The sequence below is a fragment of the Homo sapiens genome, chromosome 2, assembly GCF_000001405.40.
Source record: "Homo sapiens chromosome 2, GRCh38.p14 Primary Assembly".
Classification (NCBI taxonomy): Eukaryota; Metazoa; Chordata; class Mammalia; order Primates; family Hominidae; genus Homo; species Homo sapiens.
In genome coordinates, this window is record NC_000002.12 from 132,618,743 (window position 1) to 132,646,723 (window position 27,981).

The following is a 27,981-nucleotide window of genomic DNA, read 5'->3' on the forward strand; positions in this document are numbered from 1 at the left end:
CCTCCTCTATCTTCAGCATCACCCTCACAAAACCTTTAAAGGCCGGCTTCACTTAATGCCAGGCTGCTGGCCTGTGGTTGTGGAGGTCCCTACGGAACTGAGGGCGTTTAGAAGATGGGAGAGGGGCCAAGGGTGGACAGCCCTGGGACCAGGATGTGAAGGCTGAAGGGCCTTGCCCTTTTGTGTTTCTTCAGTTTGTGGCAGAAATAAACGGGAACTGCCCACAGACTTCCTGGGAGTCGGCAGGCCTGGTAACCCCGAGGACGGACCCAGTAGCACCAGGCAGTGGGGCAGCATCCACCTCTGCTCCATAACTCTGGCTGCTACACCCCCACAGGCCCTTTTCCAGGGTGCTGGGTTCCTGATGCAGGGTCTGCAGCCCAGTGCACTTTCTTCTCCACCCGAGGCCAACCCAGCAGGTGCGAGATCATGGTGAGGTGCACACCAACCCTCTCTTTTGCCAAGGCCAAATTTGCTGTGGAATCAGGCTATGCACATCCTTAGCAGAAAGCTATGATCACAGCAATTTGAGGCACTGGACTGGGTGGCTGAGAAATCCAGTGAAAGATCCGGCAAGCATGGGTAAGGGCCCTCGCAACAGGCTCCATATGTCCTGGCTGGTTTGCCCACCGAGCGTGTCTTTGGTCCCAGCTGGGAAGGCAGAACTGACCTCCACCCCTTGAGCCTTCAGGGGCAGAACCTTGTGGCAGGCAGTGACAGTCCCACTTTGTAGACAGTCACAGAACGGCCAAGAAACCAAGTAGAGGGAGCTCATGTTCAAACTATTTCTACCCAGTTGTGCTTCATTTCTATGGGCAGGAAGGCTGACGGCTTCTCCCCAGAGTGGGAGTTATGTAAGAAGTTTTCATTTAGGAAGTCTCTGTCCCCTGGAACCTGTCTAGGCACAGCCTCCTGGGAGGAAAGGTGGCTGTCCAATTGGTGCAGATTAGACCTACTTTCCTTGCACTGGCCTGGGTAGTTAGGCAATTTGGTTTCAGATCCTTGCCATATACTCTCATCAGTCCTTGGGGCTCAGCAACCTTTTATCCAAAGGCTCCTCCCCAACATACACACAGACACAGACACAGACACACACACACACACACACACACACAGACACACACACACTCTCCACACCCTACACCCCACACCACATCCCCATCACTTCAGGATTGCCTCCCAAACCTGCCCTAGCTCTCTGAATGAGGCCTGCTCACCAGCCCCTTCACCTGCGCAAATCTCTGCCCTTTCTCGTGCTAATCTGCCAAACCCACTGGTGTCAAAATGCTCAACTCCTTAGCGGGGCTTTCAAGCCTTTATTGATGTGGTCCAAGTCCCCATGCCTCAGTCAGCTGGGGTCTCTCTGTTCAGAATTCAGATTCCTGAACTTCTTCCTGAGGGTGAGGCCCAGAGGTCTGTGCTTGTAAGCAACTCCCCAGGAGAATTTTTTTTACATGAAAGTTGATAAATACCCAGGCAGTTCCCTCCGGAGGCAGGAGGCTGCAGCTCCAGCATGAGTTGTCTCAAGATGCCATTAGTGGCCTCAGAGAAATAAGCCCTGGGGACTGGAGGTTTGCCCAGAGGGTTCCTCATGCTGTGTGCCAGGATCTCGCAATATCTTCTGGCCTGTGACTCAGTCATGAAAGGGACATTCTGAGGAGGGGGACTTCAGCTACTCAGTCACCCCTCCCATCTCAGTTTCCTGGGACTGTGAATCTCAGAGGCCACACCATCTCCAGTTTCACTGCAAACCCTGCCCCACAGCCCCTGTGTCAGGTCTGGGCTCAGACGCCCCTCCTTCCCCCCTGCGTGGCTCAGGTGCTCCACATTAGGCAGGGAAGGCCTGGCATGAGGAGTCCTGTGTCTACAAGTTGTCTTCCCTGCCTCCCTCCCAGTGTCTCTTGGGGCTAGGTTTGCCCAGACACTTCCCCTCGCCTCTCTGTTTTCCCTTCTCTCTCCTTCACCAGTGGGTGCTATTGAACTCAGATCACAACCTTCACATTTTATTTTTATTTATTTAGTTATTTTGAGATGGAGTCTCGCTCTGTCACCCAGGCTGGAGTGCAGTGGCACAATCTCTACTCACCACAAGCTCCACCTCCCAGGTTCACGCCATTCTCCTGCCTCAGCCTCCCAAGTAGCTGGGACTACAGGTGCCCACCACCACGCCCGGCTAATTTTTTGTATTTTTAGTAAAGACGGGGTTTCATTGTGTTAGCCAGGATGGTCTCGATCACCTGACCTCATAATCCACCCACCTCGGCCTCCCAAACTGCTGGGATTACAGGAGTGAGCCACTGCGCCTGGCCACCTTCACATTTTAAATATGTCCATTCCCCAGAGAAATCGGGAAAGACCTGTTGTGTGTCTCCGGTGCTTGAGTAGTTTCCCTTTGACCGCAGCTGCTTCCCTGGCTTCAGCCACCCATCCCTAGAGTCCCTCTCCCAGCTGGACCTGGAAGATTTCCAAGTTCCTGCCTCATATCTGGAATTGGCTGTGCTGAAAACGGGTCCCTGAACTCAGGTGAATTCCCTTAGCTCATTACCAGTGTCTCTCAGAGAGCAAGTTAACACGGAAATGCAAGTGTCACCAGCGTTGCTGCAGATGACCATGACTTGGCGCTTACCTCTCCCTGAGCCTGGTGTCTAGAGCTGCCAGTGCCCAAGGTCTCAGCAGACCACACAGAGGGTGTCAGCCACATGTCTTGACTTGTGATAAGTACTGCTTTATTCTGTTTTCCAATTGATTGGTTCAGAACCTGTTCTACCATCAGCACTGCCAGCTCTCTGTGGGAGAGTCAGTGCCTGAGATGTCGCTTATCACCTACAGGCCTGGGCAAATGGCCCATGTAGTCTAACACTTGTCAAGTTGCCATTTTGAGGTACAAGTAGGGACAGCTGGGGTGCCACAGAAGGTTTGAGTATGGTGGAACCAGAGAGATTCCAGCTCAGACCCTGTCTCCAGCCCAGCCAGCTGGTGTCTTTGGACAAGCCTGTTTCCCAGCTGTTAAGTGGGTTCAGTGATGTCCATCTTCCAAGGTTATTGCAGGGCGTGAATTTATAAAACCCCAAGCTGGGCCTTGGGCAATGCAATACATTGCAGCCTTCTGGTTCCTTCGTCCTAAGTAAGAAGGCATCTTCTCTATTTCCAGCAGCTTCCATAGGGTGCTGGGGTGTGGGGCATTAGAGAGGTCCTGTCACAAATCTCAGGCTGGCGATGAGAGGGATATGCATAGAGATGGCCACCTGTCCACCTAACTCTGCTCATGCTCTCCTGCCCCAGAGGGTACTCCTGCTGAGGTGAGGGGTCCCCTGGGCTGGGGAGAGACCTTTGAGAAGGACGATGGAAAAATAAAAGTCTGCCAGAATTGGCAGGGTGCAGTGGCTTATGCCTGTAGTACCAGCATTTTGGGAGGCTGAGGTGGGTGGATCACTTGAAGTCAGGAGTTCGAGACCAGCCAGGCCAAAATGGTGACACCCTGTCTCTCCTACAAATACAAAATTTAGCCAGGTGTGGTGGCGCACACCTATAATCCCACCTACTGTGGAGGCTGAGGCACGAGAATTTCTTGAAACTGGGAGGCGGAGGTTGCAGTGAGCTGAGATCGCACCATTGCACTCCAGCCTGGGCGACAGAGTGAGACTCCCTCTCAAAAACAAAACAAAACAAAAATCTACCAAAATATCTAAGGTTTATTCTGAGCCAATATGAGTGACCATGGACCAGGGAAACAGTCTCAGGAAATCCTTAGAAAGTGCACTTGAGGCAGTTGGGTTACAGTTTGGCTTTATATATTTCATGGAGTCAGAAATTGCAGGTAAAGCCATAAATCAATACCTGGAAGGTATATATTGATTCAGCCTGAAAAAGCTGGATACCGCGAAGCAGAAGCTTACAAGTCATAGGTAGGTTTAGGGATTCTTTTTGTGGCAATTGATTGAAAGACTTAAGCTTTGTCTAAAAATTTGGAGTTGATAGAAAGGAATACTTAAGTTAAAATAAGGGGGTCTGCCACCCATCATGTGATGCCATACCAGAAGAAGGTTGAAAAGTGAGCCACATTGTAGTAGATCAAAAAATAAGACCTGTTGGCCAGGTGCGGTGGCTCATGCCTGTAATCCCAGCACTTTGCAGACCGAGGTGGGAGGATCACAAGGTCAGGAGTTCAAGAGCAGCCTAACCAACCTGGTGAAACCCTGTCTGTACTAAAAATACACAAAGTAGCCGGGTGTGGTGGCGGGTGCCTGTAATCCCAGCTACTCAGGAGGCTGAGGCAGGAGAAACACTTGAACTCGGGAGGCAGAGGTTGCAGTGAGCTAAGATCATGCCATTGCACTCCAGCCTGGGTGACAAAGCGAGACTCTGTCTCAAATAAATAAATAAGACCTATTTAATGAGATTTTATGGTTTGTAAGGCATGACTCCCCAGGCCCCTTCAAAAGGAAAAAAAAAGTCAGAGCTCAGTCCTCAAGAAGCTTGCCCAAGCCCCAGAGAGGCAGTGGAGCCCCTGGGATGGACGAGGGAAGCCCAGCACAGAGTTTCATTGACTTGCCTAAAGCCACACAGCTGGGAAAACCCAGTGCCCTGGACTCCACGCTCCTGATACCGTTGAAGGAAGATCTGAAAAAGAAGGGCTGTGGCCAGGGGCGCCTGAAGGGAAGGAGAGAGGGACAGTAAAGAAGAGTAAGAAAAGAATGGAGGGAGAAGGAAGACTGGGACAGTCTGGTGCCACCTCAAAAGTCAGGAATAAAGTTAAAGCTTATAAAAGAAGTTAAACTATTCCCTTTATCCCTTTTCCTCGCCCTGCCCTTCAAAAAGCGAAGGCAAAAATGACTCAGCATTCAGAGCCCCAGTCCGGAAACCTGGCTCCTCACTAACTAGCTGTGTGGCTTTGGCCAGTTTCCTAACTTCTCTTGATGTTTCTTTCCTCATTTACAAAATGAGAAGGCTGGGTAAGATGATCTCTGTTGTCTCTTCTAGCTGGAAACATTTCTGTGATGATTAAAGCAAAAATCCTGGAACCCCTTCTGCTGTGATTGCTTTGAGGTGGAGAAGCCCGCACAATTGCCTTGGGAAGGTGGCTCACTCCTTTTTAGTTCAGCCAAGGAAGATTTTGGAATGATGGGAAAGCCAGAAGCAGCCTGGAGCTGATGCTCCAGGGTAGAGGAGCAGCCCACTCCCTTGACCACCCCCTCACCTCCACCAGCAGCCCAAGATCCTTCTGCCTCCCTGGAAATGGCTTAATTTACATCACAGTAACCTGCTTAAAAGGAAGCCAGGGATAACCTGGGTGACAACATGAGTTTGCTAGGGGCTACCATGATAAAATAACGTGGGTTCGGTGGCATAAACAACAGACATATATTGTCTCACAATTCCGGAGGCTAAAAGTCTAAGATCAAGGTGTCGGTAGGGTTGGCTCTTGGGGCTTCTCTCCTTGGCTCACAGATGGCCCTCTTCTCCCTGTGTCTTTCTGTGGTTGTCCCTCTTGTCTGTGCATGTCTGTGTCCAAATTTCCTCTTCCTGTAAGGACACAAGTCATATTAGATTGGGGCTCATTGTAATGACCCCATTTTACTGTAATTGCCTCGTTAAGACCCTATCTCCAAATACAGTAACAATTAGATGTAGCAGTGGTTAGAGATGCAACATATGATCTTCATGATAGTGACCATGACATTTATTATCAATGCTGGAATAATTCGAAAGAAATATTTTTGAACTTTTTATTAAAGTTTACAACATACATACTGAAAAGTGCACACATTAGATGTTTATAGCTTGAACATACTCACATAACCAGATGACTAGTACTCCTGAAATTTCTGCTTTGTGTCCTCTTGTACTTATTCCCTCTCAGGTAACCATCATTCTGACTTCTAACACCATACCTTAGCTTCTCTTGTTTTTGTAGTTTCTCTACAAAATCAAACAAAATGTAATCTTCCGCATCTGCCTTCTTCAGTGGACATATGTTTGTGAGATTTGCTCATGTTCTAGGGTGCAGCTTTAGCCTGCTGATCCTCACTGCTGTGTGCAGTGTATAGTATGTCGTTGCGTGAATATTCCACAGTTAGTCTGTGTTTTCTACCATTGATGAGCTTTTGTGTAGTTCCCAGTCGGGGATCAATATAGACCTGAAGATCCTAGTGCATGTCTTTAGGTGGACATATTTTACCCTTTTCTCTTTGCATATACTTAGAAGCAAATTTCTGGGTCATAGGTTCTGCACATGAACAGCTCTACTAGAGACTGTCAAACACTTTTCCAGAGTAGTTGCACCAATTTACAACCCACGCTGGCAGTGTACGGGAGTTCTAGGTGCTCCAATTTTTTTTTTTTTTTTGCTTCTACATGGCTTTTTTACTTCTACATGGCTTTTTGCTTTGCTTCTACGTGGCTTTTTCCCCTCTACCTTTCTTAATTTGGCCATTCTGTTGAGTACATGGCGACGTCTTGCTGTGGTGTTAATTTGCAGTTATGTGATGACTCCTGATGAGGGACATCCTGGCATTTGTTGACTGGCCACTTGGCTGGCCTCCTTCCTCTGTGAAGTGCCTTTTCAAGTCTTCTGCCCATTTTCTCTATTGGATTATTTATCTTTTTTTCTTGTTGTTTTGTAGGAATACTTTATATATTCTCCATGAGTTTTCTGCTGATTGTAGGACAATTTTTGGAGTCAAAGTGGGGAGTTGTGGATAATAAGCTGTAATAAGTGCCATAAACCAGCACCACTAGACAGATTGGCAAACTTGACTTCTCGGCACATAGTGCATTCCAGTTTTACGAAGATTTAAAGAGACAAATTTGGAAGCACCAATGGCTCATATGAGAACAGAAGGGGGGGAAATGCCATGTTTTCAGTATACAGCTTTATAGGGCTTTCAGTTCCTTCTCTTCCTACATCTTTTTGAAGATGTTCACCTTCAGAGTCCAACATTGGAATGAGTTTTTATTCCTCTGTGCTGCTGATTCAGCACTCTGTTTTCTATATGTCTGTGATCATCTGCCTTAGCTTCATTAACCTTCTGACATTTTATGATTCTCTTAGTCCAACCCCCCAATTTTATTAATAAAGAAACAAGCCTGGCTGGGTGCAGTGGCTCACCAGCTCTTTGGGAGGCCAAGGCGGGTGGATCACAAGGTTGGGAGATCGAGACCATCCTGGCTAACACGGTGAAACCCTGTCTCTAGTAAAAATACAAAAATTATCTGGGCGTGGTGGTGGGTGCCTATAGTCCCAGCTACTCGGGAGGCTGAGGCAGGAGAATGGCGTGAACCTGGGTGGCGGAGGTTGCAGTGAGCCGAGACCGCACCACTGCACTCCAGCCTGGGCGACAGAGCGAGACTCCATCTCAAAAAAAAAAAACAAAAAACTAAAAAAGTAGCCTAAAATGGTTAAATGACATCCCCCAAGGTGACACTGCTGGTTAGTACAGAGCTGGGACTAGAATCCAAGGCTACTGTGCTTTTCTCCAAAGGCATCTTCACAAGTCTTTAGTATTTAAATCAACCCATAAGTACCTTTGACCATGTACAGGGTCATTGGAGGCATTGGTGTCAGCTGGAATATTGGGGTTGGAGGGCAGGCCCTGGCCTGGAAGCTGGAGGACTTGGCTGCTGATGATAGTGGCTCAGCGAGCAGCCTCTGCTTTCACATTGGCGAGATAATAAGGCTGCACTACAGTGTCCTCTGACAGCCCTTCCATCCCTGAGTTCTACATCCAAAAATGTCTCCCCTGAGGGAAGAGAAAGGAGAGCTGGTTTTTTCTTTTTTTAAACAAGAACCAAGTAAATAAGTATGGATTTCCTTTGAAAGGAAATGATTGGGTTTCTCTAGTCAATAAAGAGAAAGGAGAGAAATAGGGCTTCAAATAAGTAAACTCCTTTGTGATGTGAGTGGTATTGAATAGTCTCTCAGTTCAAATGGGCAAAAGGAAATGTCTGTTTATGGTTGGAGGCCTCCAGGTTATCCCTGAGAGACTAAGTGATGTTACCTTAGGAGGCTGAACAACCTCCCCGCAGGCCACTACATTAAAGACATTTATATAATTGAGACTCTTATGGTTGGAAGTAAGTGAAAACCATATTCACATTGGCTTAAGAAAAAAGAATGTATTAGCTTATATAATTGAAAAGCCTATAGGTAGATCCTATTTTAGGATTGTAGGATCCAGGCTCAAACAATATTAGAAATAATTCTTTCTCCTTCTCACAATGTTATGTCTTTGCCTTCCTGTGCATTGGCAAAGGAGAGCTTTTCAGGGAAGCCGCCCCAGTGTTGGGGATGTCATGGCCACAGAGTTACAGGCTTGTTTTCCTGGTTTAGCAACTCCAGCAGAATATTTTTTTTTTTCCAGCAGATGTCCTGAGGTTGCCTCTTACGGGCCTGATCTGGATCCCATGTTCATCACGGAGGGGACTGGCCCTGTGTCCCTGATTGTCCACTGCTTCTCTGTGTACCCACCTCTGGGTATAGAGAGCGAGGACTACCTCCAACCTGAGCTGGAGGGATTGTCAGGGACAATGGCTCCCCAGAACATCGGGTACTCTTACTGGAGGAAGAGAGGATTAGTTTTAGGCAGGCATGAAAACTGCTGTCTACTTAACCATCCAAGTACAACAGTGTGCAGAAAACCACGGAAACTCAGGACAGGATGGTGGCAAGACACTACTTTGTCTTTACCTCAAACCCAGGATTCTAGGAAGCAGAGAGAAAGAAATAATATTTATCAAATGTCAATATGCCGAGTAATGATGTACAGTCTCATTTTAGATTCCAGTCATCTTTCATGGAAGATATTAGTTTCCCGATTTTGCAATCAATGAAAATGAAGATAAGAGGGTTCATAACTTGCTCCTTAGAGTTGCATGCTAGCAAATAAAGGGGCCTAGCTCATAAACAAGGGCTCTTGATTCTAAAATCTCCCTCACTGCACAGTGCTGTTTTGGAAACTGGGTTTTCAGTGCCCAGAGCTGTGTGAGTCATAAACATAAAGTTGAAAGGAGCCTCGGCCGTGGGGGAGGAGAAAAAGATCTAGCTTGGATTTTGCTCCATCCCTAGCAGCTGCCCAGCTGGACAACCTCAGGTGAATTTCCTGCCTTCTCTGGATCCCCCTTTCCTCATTTACAGCTTGGCAGGGTTGGGAAAATCTATGAGGTGTTCCAAGGCTGACTGTGGCCAGTCTGTGATTAAGTGAGGGCAGGTGACTGGCTGTGCCAGCAATGACCCAGGTGGACGCATCCCAAAGTGGCTCAGGTGTTATATTTTGGGCTTCTGGTTGTGGTTCTCTACTCCTATCATTCCACCCCCATGTTGGTTTCCTCTTTTCTCCATCTCAGATGCATCTCAGGGCATGGACTGCCCCCAGCCCCCAAACATGCACCTGAGCAAATACAGCCTTGCTCTGGGAAGCATTACTCCTAGAAGAGTTCCAGAATTTCTGGAGCCTAATGTCCTGGAGTTCCAGATTTCTGGAACTTGCCCCACTGGTGCCCTGAGGCTCCTGCCCTACTGCTTCCCAGCCTTCCTTTCTGGCTTGCACTGGTTTGCTTGGAGGAGTTATTTGGTTTCCTATGTCTTTCTCCATCCTCTCCCAGACTCAGCTCAGAATGCCCACAGGCTTGGGTCACATCAAACCTGAGAGACCAGCAGACTCAAATGTGGTCTCTCAAGTTTGGGAGGGCCCTGGCAGGAGAGAGGAGGAGTCCTGCTCCTCACTCATGCAGGGCCAGCAGGCAGCCTCTCCAGAAAATAATTGGGCTGTCCTTTGCCCTCCTGCCCTATCTCCGTCCAGGCTTTAGAGCGACCTGAAACTACTCTATTCTATCTATGCACATCTTTCTGGGAAAGAGGATAACTGTTTTTTCTCCTTTAAGTTTGTAATCATTTTTCTAAGTACCATTACCCTAGAAAACCATTTTCTAAGTACCATTACCCATTTCTAAGTACCCTTACCCTAATATAAACACCCTATATTTTCTAAGTACCATTACCCTAATAAAGTAGTACATAGTAATACGTGTGTGTGTGTGTGTTTGTGCAATCAATTCTAGTTTAGTCCACAATTGAGGATAAGACCTTGGCACACACTTTAATGAGATTCAGTTTTTTCCATATTTTTCAATAAACACATATTGAGTCCCTACTCTGCTGTACTAGGCATGTGCTGGAACACAGCCCTTGCCTTCCAAGTGCTCAGAGTGACCCAGGCATGGAAATTCATCACTCATGTGGTTGTCCTGTCTTGGAAGCAAGAACAGTATCTGGGAGGTTCTAAAAAGTTAGGGAGCCCTTCCCAGAGGAGAGGATACTTGAGCTGGTAGCAGTTTCCTGGAATCTGTCTTGGGCAGAGACATGGAGCGTCCTGGAATTAAGAGTCATTGGAAAAAAGCTGGAGCACTGGACTCAGATGGAGACTGGTGATAAGGCTTGGAAGACAGGCAGCAGGGAAGTTACAAAAGGCTTAGATGTGATGCTATGATGCTAGGACTGTAGTGTAAGCCACATGCCATCTGGATGTCTTGTTAAAATGCAGATCCTGACCACAGGTCTAAGATGGGGCCTGAGCTTCTGCACGTCCAACAAGCTCTCGGGATATCCCATGCACTACACTCTGAGTAGCAAGAGTGAAGGTGCCCAGGCATGACTGAGAACTTTCCATAAGAGAGTGATCATAATTCCTTGAACCTATGTATCTAGGAATTCTAGAAAGTGTAAGTGTATTGTCTAATTTGATTCATATAATGTGAATTATGTGTAATGTGATTTATATAGTTCATGATTTTTAGATGTAGATCCTGCAGTCTAGGGAAGTTAAACAACTAGAGTTTTGTAGCTGAAAAGGGCTGCAGAAATTGAAGACAACCTCTCAATTTACAGGCAAGGAAACTCATCTGTCATCTTTGAGGTCGTTCCTGGTCTAAAAGCCCAAGTTTCTGTGATTCGAATGTGTTGCTCATAGTTTTCTAATTAAAGACAAAAGTTGAATGAAAATCTTCAGTCAGTCCTGGGAAAGGCCCTAGGCTTGCTTCCCTCTCTGGGCTAAACTCTGGAGGAGGGTGTGGGATTGTATCTCTGGATGATAGCATGGTAAACATGGAAACATAATGCTGGGGGTGATGCACTTGAACTTGGTGGACACCCTTGATTGGAAGTTCCCAGTTTTCAGGCTGCTGTCCACTCATTTTCTTTGCAACCTGGACCAAATTGGTTCAACGATAGTGCGTCTTATTGTTTTCATCTGTAAAAATAGGGATAACAGCTCTGTCACTGCATGGTTGGGAGAATCAAATTGGCAGGTCTTCATAAATGTATTGTTCATCTACCATGAACCAGACACTATGCCAAGCACTGCAGACGCAGACATAGACATAGACATAGGATAGATCCAGCCTCGAACCCCATGGAGCTCACATGGCGGTGCAAAGACTGACATCCAAGACACAAGTTCTGGCTAATTATGTCCAAGTACACAGAATACAGCCAAGAAGTATGAGGGCAATAAGGATCTATAACAGGAAGGCCTAACAAGGAGGTCTCAGACACTTCTTCCAGGAAGAAGTGATCCTTCAGCAGAGAAGTGAAACATGAATAACAGTTAACAAGGAGAGAAGAGAGACTAACTGGGTCAGAGCCCTGAGGCAGGAGTGAGTTGGCTGGCATCAGGAACCAAGAGAGGGTTGGGTGTGAGGAGCAGGTACAGCAAGGAAAGAAGGAAGTTCAAGGACAGACTGGAGGAATAAGCCTGGTTAGATCCTGTAGGACTTGTTGAGGATTCTGGACCTTATTCTAAGGTTAATAACAAGCCATCGAAAGGTTTTAAGCAAGGAGGTGATGTGAACTCTTCTGTGACTTAAAATAATCCTGGCTTGTATGGAGAATGGCTTGAGCAGGAGTGACAGGGAGACTTCTGCCTGGTGTAAGCAGGAGATGATGGTAGTAGCCCCAATCAGGGTTGTGGCAGTGGGAATGGTGAGAAAGGGACAGATTTGGGAGGTATAACTGGCAAGCTTAGGGATCGATTGGATGTGGGGGTGAGAGGGGAAGAAGTAAAACAGGACGACTTGCAGGTTCCCAGCTAGAAAACCTCAATGCATGGCATTGGAGGTTATTATGATTGGGAGTAGTGCAGAGAGGGCAGCTTTGGGTGGGTAGCTGATCATTAATTCAGTTTGGACATGTCCCATTGTAGGTATAGATAAGCTCTCCAAGCTGTGATGTTGAGTAAGTAGTTGGCTGCAGGGTTCTGGCCATAGTTGTCTACTGATGCTGGTGACATCGATTTGGGAATTGTATATCCCTAGAGATGATATTTCAAATCAGAGTGACGGAGGAGGTACCCCAGGGAGAGGGAAAAAGAAGGGAGGTAGAGAGCTGAGGGCAGCTCCTGGAGGTGCTCTGCCATTTGGCGATTATCAAGTGAGATAACAGATGAAGAATAGCTTTAAAAATTAAAGCAGGATGTTCTCATTGTTGCGCTGTACTGTGCTTACTACGTACAACAATGTGCATCTCCGACATTTACTGCTGCACTTGGATGGGAGAGATTATATTTAATGTTCACAAATTTGCAAGACTATTTCCTCCAAGTTATTTTCACCCCTATTAAAAGAAAAGCCCACCAGGAGGGATTTATTCTTATCATGTTGTGCAACAGCAATTTCATTTTCAAATCATTAACAGGAAGGCATCCTCATCTGATCATTCTTGCCTCAAAACCCTATCTTAGAAGCCTGATACCATCTCAACCTTCCTGAGAGCTTTACTGATTTCTGTTGAGACCCTCAGCTCTAATTCAAACACAGTGTGAGCCTGGCTCCTGTGTGCACCTCTCTTAGTATCTCTCCCGTCAGTTGATTTTGTTTTTCTGCCTCTGGTCCTGGCATTTGGCTGCAGATTATTCCAAGAATTTCATTGCTAACTTACATGAGATGAACAGATAATAAGAAATGGAATTTATTTTCTAATTTATTTTGAAACTGAATTCCAGATTCTGTTTATGGGGAGGGGCGGAGTCAGCCTATGATGAGTGAGAACAGTCTTTGACTCAATTTAAATGAAGTTTTTCTTCTTCTTCTTCTTTTTTTTTTTTTTCTGAGACTGATTCTCAATCTGTCCCTCAGGCTGGAGTGCAGTGGCACAATCTTGGCTCACTGCAACCTCTGCCTCCTGGTTTCAAGCAATCCTCCCACCTCAGCCTCTGGGGTAGCCAGGATTACAGGCATGCACCACCATGCCCAGCTAATTTTTGTATTTTACTAGAGACGGGGCTTGCCATATTGGCTGGGCTGTTCTTGACCTCCTAACCTCAAGCGATCTGCCCTCGGCCTCCCAAAGTGCTGGGATTATAGGTGTGAGTCACTGGACCCGGTCAAATGAATTTTCATGGGCAAGTTTCCTTCCCCAGGACTGTTTCCAGGCCTGGCAGTGGGGGTGGGGTGGAAGTTCTTGCTTTCCATAAAGTAAATCCAATCAAAAGCAGACATTCTGCAGGAGTCTAGCTTGCCAGACTCCTATTCAAAGCTAGTTTGCTTCTTTTTAGCTTCTCTCTTAGCAACAGAAAAGTTTATTGTGTTTCCCTTACAAGTAAAAAGGCCCTTCCTTGTCACAGAGAGGCATCAGAGAGGATCTTTATTTCTTGCCAGCTGACATTGTGTTCTTCACCATGACACCCACAGGAAGAAATTCATTCCTGAACTTGTGGCCATTTCAATTGAATTACCTTAATTTGCATTTGCGACTCAGAAAGCATTGGACTTTTGATCTCCTGAGGTATGCTTTCCAGACAAAGCAGCTGGCTGGGGCTGTGTGTTTCGGTGCATGAACTCTGGACCAGGCTGCCTGGTCAAACTTCTGGCCCTGACACTTTCCTGCTGTGTGAGTTTGGACAGGTCACCTAACCTATCCATGCCTCCACTTTTCTATTTGTATAAGCATTGAAATTCAGCAGTGGCCACCTCATGGAGCTTATTGTAAGGTTTAAATAAGCAAGTGCAAGTTAAGTACTCAGAAGAGTGTCTGTCATACATGTACTATATTAATTTTAGCTGAGTATTACCTCTCTTCTGGGGCAGATGATTGGATTGTCTAATAAGGAGTATGAGCTGCCATTGATCACTGCTGCTATGCTGAGTGCCTGACATATGATAATGAGGTGGATACTATTATTTTATCAGTTTCACAGAGATATAGGTCCATGGTCACACAGTTAATAAGTAGTGGGGCTGAGATTCAAACCCAGGTCTATTTTGACTCCAAATCCTAGTCCTCACCTCCCCACTGCTGCCTCCACTGTACACTTTGCCTGAAGAATGGGGGGTAAAGAGGGTAAAGAAGCAAGGTCAAGGTCATGTGGAAAGGTATTTTTGGCCAATTAACCAGATGACCAGGCAGTTCTAGAGCATCCCTGCCCCTTGTCATTTCACCTGGACGGGAAGCATGTGAGCACAGGGAGTTGGGGAAAGGCTCAGAGCTCTAGTCCTTGGGGGATTTGCAATTTTTCCCTCTTGTTGTAATCCTACCTTCTATCAATTTCCCCCTTTATTATATCCTCTACTTTTTTTCCACTCCTTATCTTTAAACTCCAAATACCTCTGTGTGTGTGTGTGTGTGTGTGTGTGTGTGTGTGTGTGTGTGTGTTGTAGGAGTTAAGGCCTTAGGGCAGAGTGGGAAGAGCTCCATTTCCAGGTAGTGGAAAAGAACTTTGGGCTGTTAAACAGGCTGTTAATCTGGTCCTTTCTCTGCTACTGAATAGAAGAATAACCCTGAGAAAGTCATTGACTCTTTCTGGGCCTTATCCATGAGTTTGGGATTGAGGATTGGAAGGTATCTGACATCCTGTGGTTCTAGTCAGCCTTCTCCTAGATCTCTGACCTCTAGGAGTGGTCTTGGTGACAGTGATGATGGTGGTGGTGAGTACTGATGGTGGAGGAGGTGATGAGATAATGACGACAAAGGAAGTTGTTGGTAGAGGTGTTAATGATGGTGGTGGAGATAGAGGTGAATGCTTGGTGATTGTGACAGAGACAGAGGTGGAAGTCATGGTAGAGATGGTGGCAGTGGCTGTAGCAGTGATGTTGGTAGAGGTGGAGGTGATGATGTTGGTGGGGGTGGTAGCGGCATTGGTGTTGGTATTGTTGGTGGTATAGGTGGAGGTGATAATAATGGTGGTGGTGTGGTAGCAGTGTTATTAGTGTTGGTAGAGGTGGAGGCAGTGGTGGAAACAGTGGAGTTGGTGTAGAGGTGGAGATGATGATGGTGGTGGAAGCAGTGTTGGTGTTGGTGGTAGGGGTGGAGGTGATGATGATGGTGGGGGTGGCAGTAGTAGCAGTGGTGTTGGTGTTCGTGGTGATGGAGGGTGATGATGATGGTGGCCATAGTAGGAGCAGTGGTATGGTGATAGAGGTGGAGGTAAGAAAGATGGTGGTAGTGGTGGTGGTACTGGTAGAGGTAGAGATGATTCTGGAGGTGAGATGGTCATAATTGACAGTGGTCCTTTTCTGACAGCAGTCACTGTGGTCAGCACTATCCCTTCAGTGTCTCCTTTGATCCTCCTGGCAGCTAGTGTTATCTCCATTTGCAGATCAGAAGCCCGAGGAGCCTGAACTTTAGAGAGTAAGGCTGAGCATCTTGGTGCTGGGTGGAACTGTTCCAGTCAGGTAGAGGCAAAGCCGGAGGTGTCCAAGGAATCCTTTGTTGGGAAATCTGTGATAGGCATAAGGAGGGAGGGGAGTCAATACTGGCCATATTCATGTTTTGTCCTTCCCAAATCCTTTCCTGTGACAACCCAGTTGTGCCCAGATGGAAATTGAGGGTTATAATTGTCAGATTTTATTCCCTGAGGCCACACAGCATAGAGTGTCAAAATGGCTTCCATGCTTCTGCACACGTCCTCTAAGTACTTTATTATTTGTCTACAAATTTCCTTCTTTGGCAGCAGACCCCAGCCTTATGCTCTAGGTCCTGGCCTGCAGCTTCTCTGACAAAGGCTTGTATTGTCCATGGAGGGGAAGGGCCCCCCTCAGGTGAATTATTTTGGCATAAGTGAATGTCCTCTGATATGTCTTTGGTAAACAGGGTTTTCTGTGTCCTGTTATACCCATTGACTTGCATATGTACTCTGTTTGTACCCCATAGGGCCATCACAGACAGAAACAGAAAAAGAAATGAGTTTTTAGTGTAGAGAACTCAGGGTTAATCAGTAGCAAAGGGGGCTTCAGGTTAAAGCCACCTGCCTTGAAGGCAGTTGTCAGAATCCAAGACTCCTCAACCCCTGTCTAGTTCTCCTTTAGGGCTGAGGGTGCTGGTCTTGTTTGGATGAGAAAGTGATCCCTTCTCTCCATTCCCACTCTTTCTTTTTCTTCCTCTAAGTACAGAGATGGAAATGAGCCAGGCACTAGGCCCCAAGCTTGGAGGGCTAATACTGACCTCTTTGACAGAGAAGCTGGCTTCAAATGGATTCCATAGAGGTTCACCAGAGCCCCTCACCTGGAACTCTCTTTCCCTCCTGCAAACATTTATTGAGCAGCTACTATATAAACGTTTTCTGTTACACATTGAGAATACAACAGTGAAGATGGAGCATGTTGCCCTCCTTGAATTTCTAGTCTAGTTTATACTGCAGTGTTATGATGATGTGAGTAGGAATGAACATTCTTGGTGAACTCATAGAAGGGAACTTGATGTAGACTTGTGAAGTCAAGGAAGGCTCCCTGGAAGGAGTGACATTTAAGCAGAAACTTCTGGACTAAGATCTGGACTAAGTGTGGGCAATTGGTGTGAGAGGAATAGGGAGGAAGGAAGAGAGAAGGAGGAAAAGCAGGGGATGAGGAGGGTGTGGTCTCAGCAAAAAAGCAGCGTGTGCAGAGGCATGGAGGCTAAAGAAAAGAGATGGGGGAGGGGGCCTAGCAGGTCATGGGGCCTGGGGCATAGAAGAGTGCCATCCTATGCTGTGAACTGAACTGTGTCCCTCTCAAGTCATACATTGAAGCCCTAACCCCAAATCTGACTGTATTTGGGGATCGGGCTTTTAGGAGCTGTTTAAGTTTAGTTGAGGTCATAAGGGTGGGACTCTGAATAGGACGAGTGAACATAAAAGAAGAGGAAGAGAGCTTCTCCCCACCTCTATACCCTTACTTCTGCCATGTCGGAGAATGCAGAGAGATGGTGGCTATCTGCAAGCCAGGAAGCGAGCCCTCACCCAGCACCAAATCGGCTGGCACGTTGATCTGGGACTTCCCAGCCTCTGGAACTAGGAGGAATAAATTTCTGTTGTTTATGCCATTCAGTCTGTGGTATTTTGTTATGGCAGCCTGAGTTGATGAGTACACCCCATATCTAGACAAGGGTAGACAGAAACTACTTTCTTGCCTTTAGTCCTTGTTGCTAATTCTATAGCAGTAACAAGAAGTGGTAGCTGGTGTCTGGTTTTACCTTTGGATAATATAGGTCAATATTATCTCCTAGCTCACACCTCATTCTCTCTTCTGGGACGGTTCAGCTGTAAAAAAGACTCCCATGGAGGAAGCTCTTAGCTCTGTGCTCCACCCATGCTGGGCCTCCCCAGGTTGGGTTGGAAGGCCAGGCCCTGGCTAGCCACTCCTCTGCCTCAGTCACAGGCTTTGGGGGCTGGTCCTCCCAGGGTCTGGGAGCCCACTCAGGGATCTCAGGAAAGGAGACAGTGGGGAAGCAGGGTCTGTAGGCATGCTTGTTTGTCTCCACACTCCTGAAATGCCCATGCAGGAGAGACCTGGCTAAGTGCACTGGCTGGCTTCATCTGAGGGCTGCATGATTTTACCAGACTCTAAAGGGAGCTGGGCCAGTGCAAACAGCACCTGCCTGGGAAGCCCCACGTTTGGACTCATGGGCTGTGTAAATTTGGGCACCTCCTTCCACTTCTCTGGGGATTCTGCTAGCTCATCAGTAGACTAAACTCTGAGGTCTTTTCAGTGCCAGCATTCTAGAGTTTTAATTCTCTACTATTTATAGGGAGCTGAATTGTATTAACAGTGCAGCCTTTCAGCTGTTAATCAGTGTTTATAAGTGGCATGGCTAGAGCCCGTGTGGTATGCATCGACTTGCTGTTTTGGTTGCCCCAGCTGCAAGCTTCTTCATTATATGCTCTGCAGCTTCCCCGGTGGGCTTGGAGGACATCATGCTCCTCATTACCACCACCCACTCCTGTGCTGTGTGTTACTAGAGAAGTAGCATTTGGCTTCATCTGCCAGGCTGAGAGATAGCTACAGGTTTATGTAGCTGCACCACATTTTAGGACTTACTATCAGTGGATTGAGAATAGATTGCATAGAAAGCCACACAGCTACTTACAGTTGAGATCTACATAGAAAAATATTTATTTAGCAGATTCCAGTTGATCATTTATCATGCATCATAAAGGTACAGGAGCACTAAACCACAATGATGACCCTAAACTCCATTTACTTTGAGTGCAAGTGTCTGTCCTACAGCTTCCAGACAGGAGGGTCTATTTTAGAAATATGTGTTTGTTATGGTAGTGATTGATAGTTTTTCTTCTTGTACTGAAGCTTGTACAGCAGAATGAAATAGCTGTAATGCTTAGCAAATTGCAGCCCATTTGGAATCTGGCTTCTGTGGCACATTTCAGAGGCCTCTGGCCTCAACGTGGTGGATGGAGTTGCACTGGGGAGAGAGTTCTTTCCTGGGCTCCATCAAACAGCTGGAACAAGGATGAGACATCAAACCGTCTGTCTTCATGGACAGAGGCAGCCATCTGTGGCATTTACATCATTTTGAAGTTGTGGCCTGCGCCTTTCTGAAAACCAAATCCCAACAGTTCTTCTGTCTTCTAAAAGAAATTCCTCAGTAGGAAAAAGGGCAAGAAGGAAGATCTGCATAAACGAAGACCTCCAAGCTGCAGGTCACTAGAAAAGTGATTGCAAAGTTTCCAAGAAAGTCCTAGCTTGGACTTAGACCTTGTCAGAGGACATGGTACCTGGATTTAGCTCTCAGGGAAGGTGCAGTCAGTCCATGGTCAACTGCATCCCATCCATGCCGCTCCCAATGCCTCTCTGCCTTCCGTTGACAAACTCAGCAATGGGCGGAGATTGCCCTCTCTGCCACCTCCCTGTTAGCTATTAAGGAACTGGCTTGAAGCTGACCCAATTGCCTTCTCAAGATGATCCGAATAAATAATGGGAAGGGAGAGGTGTGGGCTGGGAATGGTTGCACATGGCTTGATTTGTGGTGATCTTGAATAAAGATGGGTAGGGAGCAAGAGGGAAAAATAGAAGAGAAAAGAGATGTGATTGCTTTACATACTGGAGAAACATGTACAGAAAGAGGAGAAATGGAAGCAAAAAAGGAAAGGTGGGGAAAAATAAGAGGAAAGGGGAGGGAAAAAGAGACAGAGGGAGAAAGGATAGGAGAAGAAAGAAGACAGGATGAGGAAGAGCTGTGTGTGGAAATAAGTGGGACTGGCAGGACGGTTGTCTAGGAGTGGAACCAGAGGGAGGGAGTTTGGAGCTACCGTCTGCTTTGACTGTAGACACTGATGAAAATGTGATGCTTTAAAGGCTTCAGTGACAGTGCTAGGGTCCCTACAAGTGCCCACTGAGCCAGGGGCTCCACCTCAATTTATGCTTCTCTTAGACCAGTGTTCTCCAACTTGTGTGAGCAGCAGAGTCAACAGAGGGCTTGTTAACCCCAGATTGTGGGCCACACCCTCAGAGTCTCTGATTCAGGAGATCTGGGTTGGAGCCTAAGAATTTGCATGTCTAAGAAGTTCCCAGGTGGCGCTGATGCTGCTGTTCCAGGGAACACTCCTTTGAGAATTCTGTCTCAGCCGTTAAAGACTAAACCAAGGTTGGTGCTGATTTGGACGCCTCGGGTCAGACAAGGTCAGTGAGTGAGATCAACATCTCAGCTGACTTGCAGAAGCAGATTGCAAACACTAACATATAAATTGAGAAAGTGCTAAAATCTTTTATTGGATGTATTTGTCTCTTTCTGGCTCTTCATTCAACTAACCATATGCTTACTTTCCACTGGCAATTGCTATTTAAATGTCAGTTGACAAGCAGATGCTTCTCACCCTACTACATGCAAGTTAATTTATTGTCCACAAAGCCTGATGGAGTGCTCTCTAACCATGCTGGTTTCCCACTGTCCCCACCCACCCTTTTGTTGCAACCACGCTGAGCCTTGCAGCTCACAGAAGGTAAGTTGCCTTTGTGTTTCTCCATCCCCTGCTCATGCCCTGTCTCTGCTGGTGCTGCCCTTTTCCAGGCTGACTCTTACTCTCCTTAACTTTCTGTGTGAATGTTCTTGCCTGTGGGAATGTTTATCCAGCTCTTGTTGCTGCAGTGTTGTTCGGCTCAGACCATTCTCCTAGCCCTTAGAAAACCAGGCTGGGGCCACCTTGTACAGCTCAGCTTTGTATCATCAGTCCCTAGGACAGGATCCTTAATAGGCCCCAGCCATCAAGAAGCAATTGCCAAGTAAATAAGCAAAGTACAGAGAACTTGAATGGGGGGATAAAAGGGGGATAAGGGCTGGGGGCTGGTGGGGAGGTGGAGATGTCTAACCCTTGCTCACTATGGTCAGGATTAGAGAGAAATTGAAAAATAGAGACAGGAACAGGCAGGAGGAGGACAGAGCAGACATAATAATCACAGAAATCCTAAATCATCATCAACATACCCCTGCACCCTCAAGGCTTCAATGATTCCATAAAATGGGACTCCAACAGTAAGTAGAAAAGCTAATATTGGGAATTTATTTAAATTACACAAAATATCTTTGCTTGGGAGGTGATCAACTTTCCAGATATTTTGTGCTTAATACAAGCTAAGTATCCATTTTTAGTAGGTACTTATGTAAGATGGATGGACGGATGAATGGGTAGAAGAGAGATGATAGATAGACAGATGGAGTCATTGTAGGCTAGGTCACCAAGTCATGACCTGAAGTAATATTTTGTTTTAATCTTCTTTGGCTCCCTTGGGCTGGGACTTTACCTTCCTTTGAGCAGGAAACGTTCTCCAGAGTTTTGCCAAATGCCTGTTCTTGGAGGACCCGCTTCTAAAACTGAAGCAAGACAGTGCATAGGAAAGGTGTTGTATAGACATGCCACTTGCTGCATCCCATGCTGTCAATGGTCAGCACTTGAGTCTAAAGCTGGAAAAAAACCCTAAAATTACAGTTAAAAAAAAATAATGGGCTTGCTTGGCAATCGAGGGTAGAATCAATCCAGTGTTCTAAGTAGTATGACCACCCTGGCCCCAGGAGATCTTGGGCAAATCACTTAACCTCAGTTTGCTCATGTGTAAGACAAGGGAGTTACAAGGCTGGTCTCAAGGTCTCCTCTTGATCTCCTGATCTCTAATGACTCTAAGATGGAATTCTGGGGAACACACTAGTAGTTACTTTGACTTTAAAGGTTAGAGGGGAGAAAATAGAGCATGGTGTCAGATACATCAATGCCACCATGTCCCAGCCTGCAGAGCTTAATGCACTTAAGATGAAACCAAGCAGGCTGCCTCTAATGCTGTTGAAATGTCAGGCTTCAGTGCAGGGTGTTGTTAGACATCTGCATTTCTTCTGTTTTTTAAACAACATGACTCTGCCAAGAATGAATCTGTGTCATCATCTAATGGCTCTTGTCATTTTAGTGTAGTGATCAAGGAGGAAAAATGAAAGTACTTTATGTGGAAAACCAGATAAGAAGGTATTTCATAGCCCAGAGTGCAAGGCTGTCTGGAGTATAATACAGATCTATCAGTAATTCAGTTAAAACAGTTTACCTGCTTTACATGAGTGGGTTCAGTTCATTGATCTTCATTCAAGTTCACACTAAAGTTATTTAACTGTGGGCTGCACATTACACCACACAGACCAAAGAATTATAGATTTTTTCCAGATGTGATATACAAATCCAAATTGTGATTGCAGCCAAACATGCATTTAGTCAAATCTTTAATACACTCTATTAGGGCGTGAATAAGACTTTAAAGCTTTGTCTTAGCCACAGGGTAGCTGGGCTAGAGTAGAGCCAATCGCAAACAGCCAGAATAGAAAGTTACCTTGGGATGCAGTATTTATTCTCAACGGTGTATCATCTAGAACAACAAACTTTTTTTAATGTAAAAATGAGCAATTACTTGTCATTATAAAATGACAAATTTTACAAGGGGTCAAATTTGGTTTTCTTCCCCTGAGAGGCTCACCTCCATTACCGTGCTCACTGGTACATGTCTCATGTTTGTCATTGGCTGTACCTGTATGCCTAATGCTCCATTTTCCTAGAGCAAAACTATCTTTCAAAACACAGGAAGAAAAGCGCCAGCCATTTTCCCCACCTCCAGTTGAGGCAGGGGAAGTTTATCCCAACAGCCCTGCCAAGTAGTTGGCATGATCTGCATTATTCTAGGATAGCTAGGCAAAGTTTAGAATGAGAAATGCAAAATACATCCTTGTGTTTTCAGGATTATATAAGTTTTAAATGATTTAGAGTTCCCTTATATGGAAGGCTTTCTAGGAAAAGACTGGCTAACCCTGTTCCTCGCTATAGCTGAGAATGCATACTCAGAGATTTAATTCAGCATTGGTTGCATTGTAGTGTAACAAATACAGGCTATGTGGGAGGTTCCTTGGGGCTTCCTTGGTTTGATATAACTCTCTGGAATGTGGTTGTTAAAGGGACAGTTGGGGGAATGGGAAGAGGGGGAGCCTTGCTGCTCTGGGGAGGGGCTAGGAAGGATTCTTTTAGTGGGTGCTGTCCAATACTGTAGACACTAGCCACATGTGTCTCTTCCCAACTGAGGCATACTGTAAGAGTAAAACCTATACTGGGTTTCAATGACTTAGTATTAAAAAATGTAAGACATTTCATCAATAATTTTTATATTGATTGCATGTTGAAATTACATGTGAAATAATTATTTTGGGAGTGTATCGGATTAAACAGCAGTATTAAAATTGTTTTCACCCATCTCTTTTTCTCTTTGAATGTGGCTGCTAGAAAATTTAAAACTACATATATGGCTCACATTCTGTATTTCCAGTGAACAGCACTGTGCTATATCCATTTTACATGGTGGAATTATGGTGTTTACTTTCTTGCTTGTGTTTCTGTATTTTTCAAACTGAAAGTATGAATAGCAAACAATATTGTGTTTTGAGAAAAAAATACACAGCATGGATTTTGGAGTCTGGCAAAGATGTGTCCTAGCTATTGCACTTGGGCAACTAACTTTCTCTGAGCCTGCACTTCCTCATTTGTTAAATTAAGAGAATAACTATTTTGACCTCACCAGGTCAAAGCTCTCCAGGTTGTTGTCAGGAGTGAGAAATGCATGGGAAATTAGCAGAGTGCTTAGCACAGAAACTGGCTTAGGAAAAACTCAGTAATAAATATTCTGCATTATTATAGGTTATTTCAAAACACCCATCTGGTGCACAATATGAAAATCTCTGCATTTCTAATTCAGGTCTTTGTCTCTCTTGTTCTACAAGTTTGTTCTTGCTATTATATCTACCTACTTTTACACCCAGAAAACCAAACTTCCCCTTCTTTGCCTCATCATTGTGACTCTGAGTTGGTTTTCTGTTACTTGTTCACACTGAGCTTCTTCCCACTTATTTTTGACTTCAGAGCAGGAATTTTATCCTGGCTACAAACAACACCACAACTCTTTATCTACCCCTGCCTTTGCCTTGTACCTGGAGGCTGGGTCTTGCTTTTTACTGAACTCTGCTGCTTTTGATGGGATGATCAGTGAAGGACAGTTGACACCAGGCCAGTGCATGTGGGAAGCTGTCAGAAGAGTAAGGGTCATGTAAACAACAGATCAAGAGAATGAGGAGCAAAGACAGGGCAGAAGAAAAGCAATGTTATCATTCTCTCCCCTTGTTTCACAAGCCTGCCTTATCTTCTCATTGCCTTTGTCTGTTGGCTTTAAAAGCTGTGCTATGTTCAGCTCATGGTTAGTACAAGGTGTTTCTAATTGCCTTTCTGGATTCTCACCGCCTGAAGTACAACCTCCCATGGTGTAGCACAGTTCACATCTAAAACCGTGCAATTTCCATATTCTGGGCAATAACTCCTCAGATGAAGATGGTTGTACATGTTCTCTGAAATTCAGTGACAGGAAAGAGAAAAAAAATGCAAAACTTTGTGAAAATATGTGGCTTCCTCAGGTATGGTCTTTTTCCTAGTTCTTTCACAATTAATGAGATGAGCCTCTCAATCAGAGCTGGATGAGATGCAAACAAGGAGCAGGAACTTAAGATGAATTTGGAATAGCACAAGTGGCTGGGAACACCTGTACTCCTCGAAGTGGGAGAAAAGTCCCGGATTTCTTATGTATTTTTTTAAAATCAGAAATTTTTGTTGTTGCTGTTGTTGTTCCTATCCAGCATCTGTAACTAGGTGATTCAGAATAAACTCTTGAATTAAGATGGTATTTTTTTAACCATTTTTTCATCAGATCAATATGTTAGTTCACTTATTTTAGTTTTAGATTTACTGGATGTTCTCAGGATAGCAAACTCAAAGGAAAAAATAAACAAATTGGCTTATATTTCAAAGTTTTAGGCTGGGAGTTGACAGGAGAAACCTGTGGAAATTAACAAAGGAGAAGAGTTTCCAAGGCCTTCCTTGCTCACATATGGATTTGTGGAGGATTTGAACACAGCTAGGGTCCCCTCCAACAGCAGGCAAGGAATACTCAGGCCAGTGCATACAGGAGGCTCAATTCTGGATGTGTGAATGTGGCTGTTTTTTCCTGGAGCATTTATTTATTGGTTTATTGAGACAGTTTCACTCTGTCAGCCAGGCTGGAGTGCAGTGGCACATTCGTGTCTCACTGTAGCCTTCACCTCCTGGGCTCAAGTGATCCTCCCGCCTCAGCCCCCAAAAAGTATCTGAGACCACAGGTGTGTATGTACCACCATGCCTGGCTAAGTTTTTCTTTTTTTGTAGAGATGGGGTCTTGCTATGTTGCCTAGGTGGGTCTCAAATTTCTAGGCTTAAGTGATCCTTCTGCCTTGGCCTCCCAGAGTATTGAGATATCAGGCATGCGCCACCATGTCTGGCCCCCATTTATTAATAGAATATTTACCATGGGTCATAGGCAGGAAGCATTCATTGCCAACTGTCACTTCCCTAGGGTTTCTAGAAAATCAGAAGATTGAAAATGTGAGTAAATGTTTCTTACTACGATTGAAATGTAGGAGAGGAAGGAAGCATTTCTGAAAATGCAAATCCTGCTTTAAGGTAGCAGCTCTCTACAGGGGAATTTACTGTGGGTGTCTTGGCTCCTTACGAAAAGAGAGAGCAAATGCTTCACAGATCCCCTGATCTTCCTTTGTTCTTTTTTGCTTTTGTCACTGTAACTAAACTCTCATGATACCTGTGATTTCAGTTGTTTGTGGTCTATGTAGCATCTTTATCTCTGTCAGTCAGAATTGCAGAACTGGTGGTGGTTACTTAAGTTGGAATACAAATATGTGGGCATGCAAACAAATGTACATGCAGTAAACATTTGATCTACAGAAGGGCCTTTGAGTGGTCTCTTCTCTAGGGCCTGATTGCTTCTGGGCTGTTGACAGCACAGCTCAGTGCTGCAAAGGAAGGGAACATGTTACTGGCTGAACTAGAAGGAAGTTTTATATTTGCCATCTCTGAATAATTCTTTTTCCCCACATGAGGGATCTAAAAGTGTCTGAAAAGAAACACATATGCTGTTGCAGATATGAGCATCATGATTATAGGTGTGCATACCTAGTATGTATATGTCCAAAAAACATTCTTGGCGACAGGCTATTCCTGACTTTGCTTCCCCTGAAACTGAATGCAAAACCAGTGTCATTAAATATGCTGCTTTGTTGCCAAAGGGACACTTCTTCCATTTGATTTAAAAATATCACTAGGTCTTCTTTGTGCAGACATCCTTTAAAATACAAACACTGCTTTATCTAATGCAGCTATACTGTATGTATACATCTTTTTCTTTAAAACAAAAAAAGACAAAACCAGATTTATGGATAACATGAACTGCTTTCTGGATACGCAAACAAACACCAATGAAAACATTTTTTTAAAATTAACAGACATCAACTGGTATAAATACACTGTCTAAAGCATTTAATGGTCTTTCTTTAACACAGCCAACTCCCCCGGGTTTGAAACAGTGTTAAATTCTCTCTTGCTTGTGGCAAAAGAAGCTGTCAAGTCCAACACTGAAAAATTGGTACCATTTCCTGGCCAGTAAGCACAGAACAGAGGGGCTAAATATTTTATGGTTTTATTCATTTACTGTGTTCTCATGCTGTGTTTTTCTTTTCTCTGTCTCTCCCTCCTGCTCGTGTCTGCCCAGGGCTGATTGTTGTGACATTGGCCGTATGCTGGATGCCCAACCAGATTCGGAGGATCATGGCTGCGGCCAAACCCAAGCACGACTGGACGAGGTCCTACTTCCGGGCGTACATGATCCTCCTCCCCTTCTCGGAGACGTTTTTCTACCTCAGCTCGGTCATCAACCCGCTCCTGTACACGGTGTCCTCGCAGCAGTTTCGGCGGGTGTTCGTGCAGGTGCTGTGCTGCCGCCTGTCGCTGCAGCACGCCAACCACGAGAAGCGCCTGCGCGTACATGCGCACTCCACCACCGACAGCGCCCGCTTTGTGCAGCGCCCGTTGCTCTTCGCGTCCCGGCGCCAGTCCTCTGCAAGGAGAACTGAGAAGATTTTCTTAAGCACTTTTCAGAGCGAGGCCGAGCCCCAGTCTAAGTCCCAGTCATTGAGTCTCGAGTCACTAGAGCCCAACTCAGGCGCGAAACCAGCCAATTCTGCTGCAGAGAATGGTTTTCAGGAGCATGAAGTTTGAATGTCAAGCGAGGGAGCCTTGAGTGGGAACTGGCCCTCCAGCCCTAAGAAAACGTCACTCTCACTCTGCAGTCTCAAACTATGCCCCCATCAGGGATGGAATGGACACTGGAGGCTTTACAAAAGGCAGATGCCCACCTCAGTGACTTCTAAGGACTGACTCTGCCAGCCTGGCCTTGACTCCGGTTACACAGACATGGGGGTGAACTTTCACTCCACCTCCTTCCTTCAAGTACATACTGAAAATTCAGTCAGGCTGAATTTATTCAGAATGCTTTACCGAGCTCTTTCATTATTTGCACAGGAACAAAAGAGAACACGGACTCCCGCTCCCTACCCAGAATAAAAGGACACCCAGAAGAAACTCACTCAGGGAGGTGGGGGGTTGGGGGCGAGGGCTGGAAGAACAATGCAGGAGGGGGTGGCATCTCCTTCAGCTTCAGCAGTGTGCCGAGAAGAGGGCTAATTTGAGGAACAGGATGGTGGTGCGGAGCCCTGGCCTGAGGGCCGAGGCAGAACTTCCCCTTTTCTTGGGCCTTGGCCCGTTACAAAGAGGGGTGTTGCAGCAGCTGATGCAAACTGAGTTCAGTTTCCCTGGGGAGCAGAAGGACTGGTACCCGGCAGAGGCGATGAGACAGGCCGCTGATGATGCACAGGACTTGCGGTACATGATCCCTGTAACACAGACCCAAAGGAGCTGAGTTAACGTGCACCGGCAAAAGAATAGCTGTCCCTCTCAGCCCAAATCCAAACGGACAGCTCTTCCTTACTCCTCCCACAGCCCAGAGACTAGGTGAGGTCAGGGAAGTGCTTCGGATTGTCTCATTGATATTCAAGATAGATGGTGAAAGAGACAGGCACTATTTCATTAGTTTTAACAAAACTGTTCCAAAAGCGATTTGAGATGCCAATACCTGTGAATACCTGTTAATAAAGAGCTGTTAAATAGACTTATTTACATTTTAAGTCAGAGTTCACACTGTGTACAAGACACAGCTTTTTATTTACTTTGTTTTTGGTTCAAACTGTCTCATGCCAGTGAGGCCCACAAGCAGTGCTTCTAGATTTTATCTCATTTTGCTTTATAAGCGGCCACAGAGCGCTGGCTCTCAACTATG

General features: G+C 45.7%; 2 protein-coding genes across 5 annotated transcripts in view; one reads left to right on the top strand and one right to left on the bottom strand.

The window, feature by feature from the left end:
* Positions 1 to 27,840, top strand: part of GPR39 (G protein-coupled receptor 39) — a 229,778-nt gene extending 201,938 nt beyond the window's left edge. Inside the window, exon 2 of the mRNA NM_001508.3 lies at positions 26,359 to 27,840. Within this exon, the coding sequence (NP_001499.1) occupies positions 26,359 to 26,864 (506 nt within the window). The 3' untranslated portion in view covers positions 26,865 to 27,840. The remainder of the gene's footprint in view (positions 1 to 26,358) is intronic.
* Positions 24,544 to 27,981, bottom strand: part of LYPD1 (LY6/PLAUR domain containing 1) — a 28,241-nt gene continuing 24,803 nt past the window's right edge. For all 4 annotated transcript variants that reach the window (NM_001077427.4, NM_001321234.2, NM_144586.7 and 1 more), the window contains one exon: positions 24,544 to 27,538. In NM_001077427.4, coding sequence (NP_001070895.1) covers positions 27,303 to 27,538 — 236 coding nt within the window. In that variant the 3' untranslated portion in view covers positions 24,544 to 27,302. The remainder of the gene's footprint in view (positions 27,539 to 27,981) is intronic.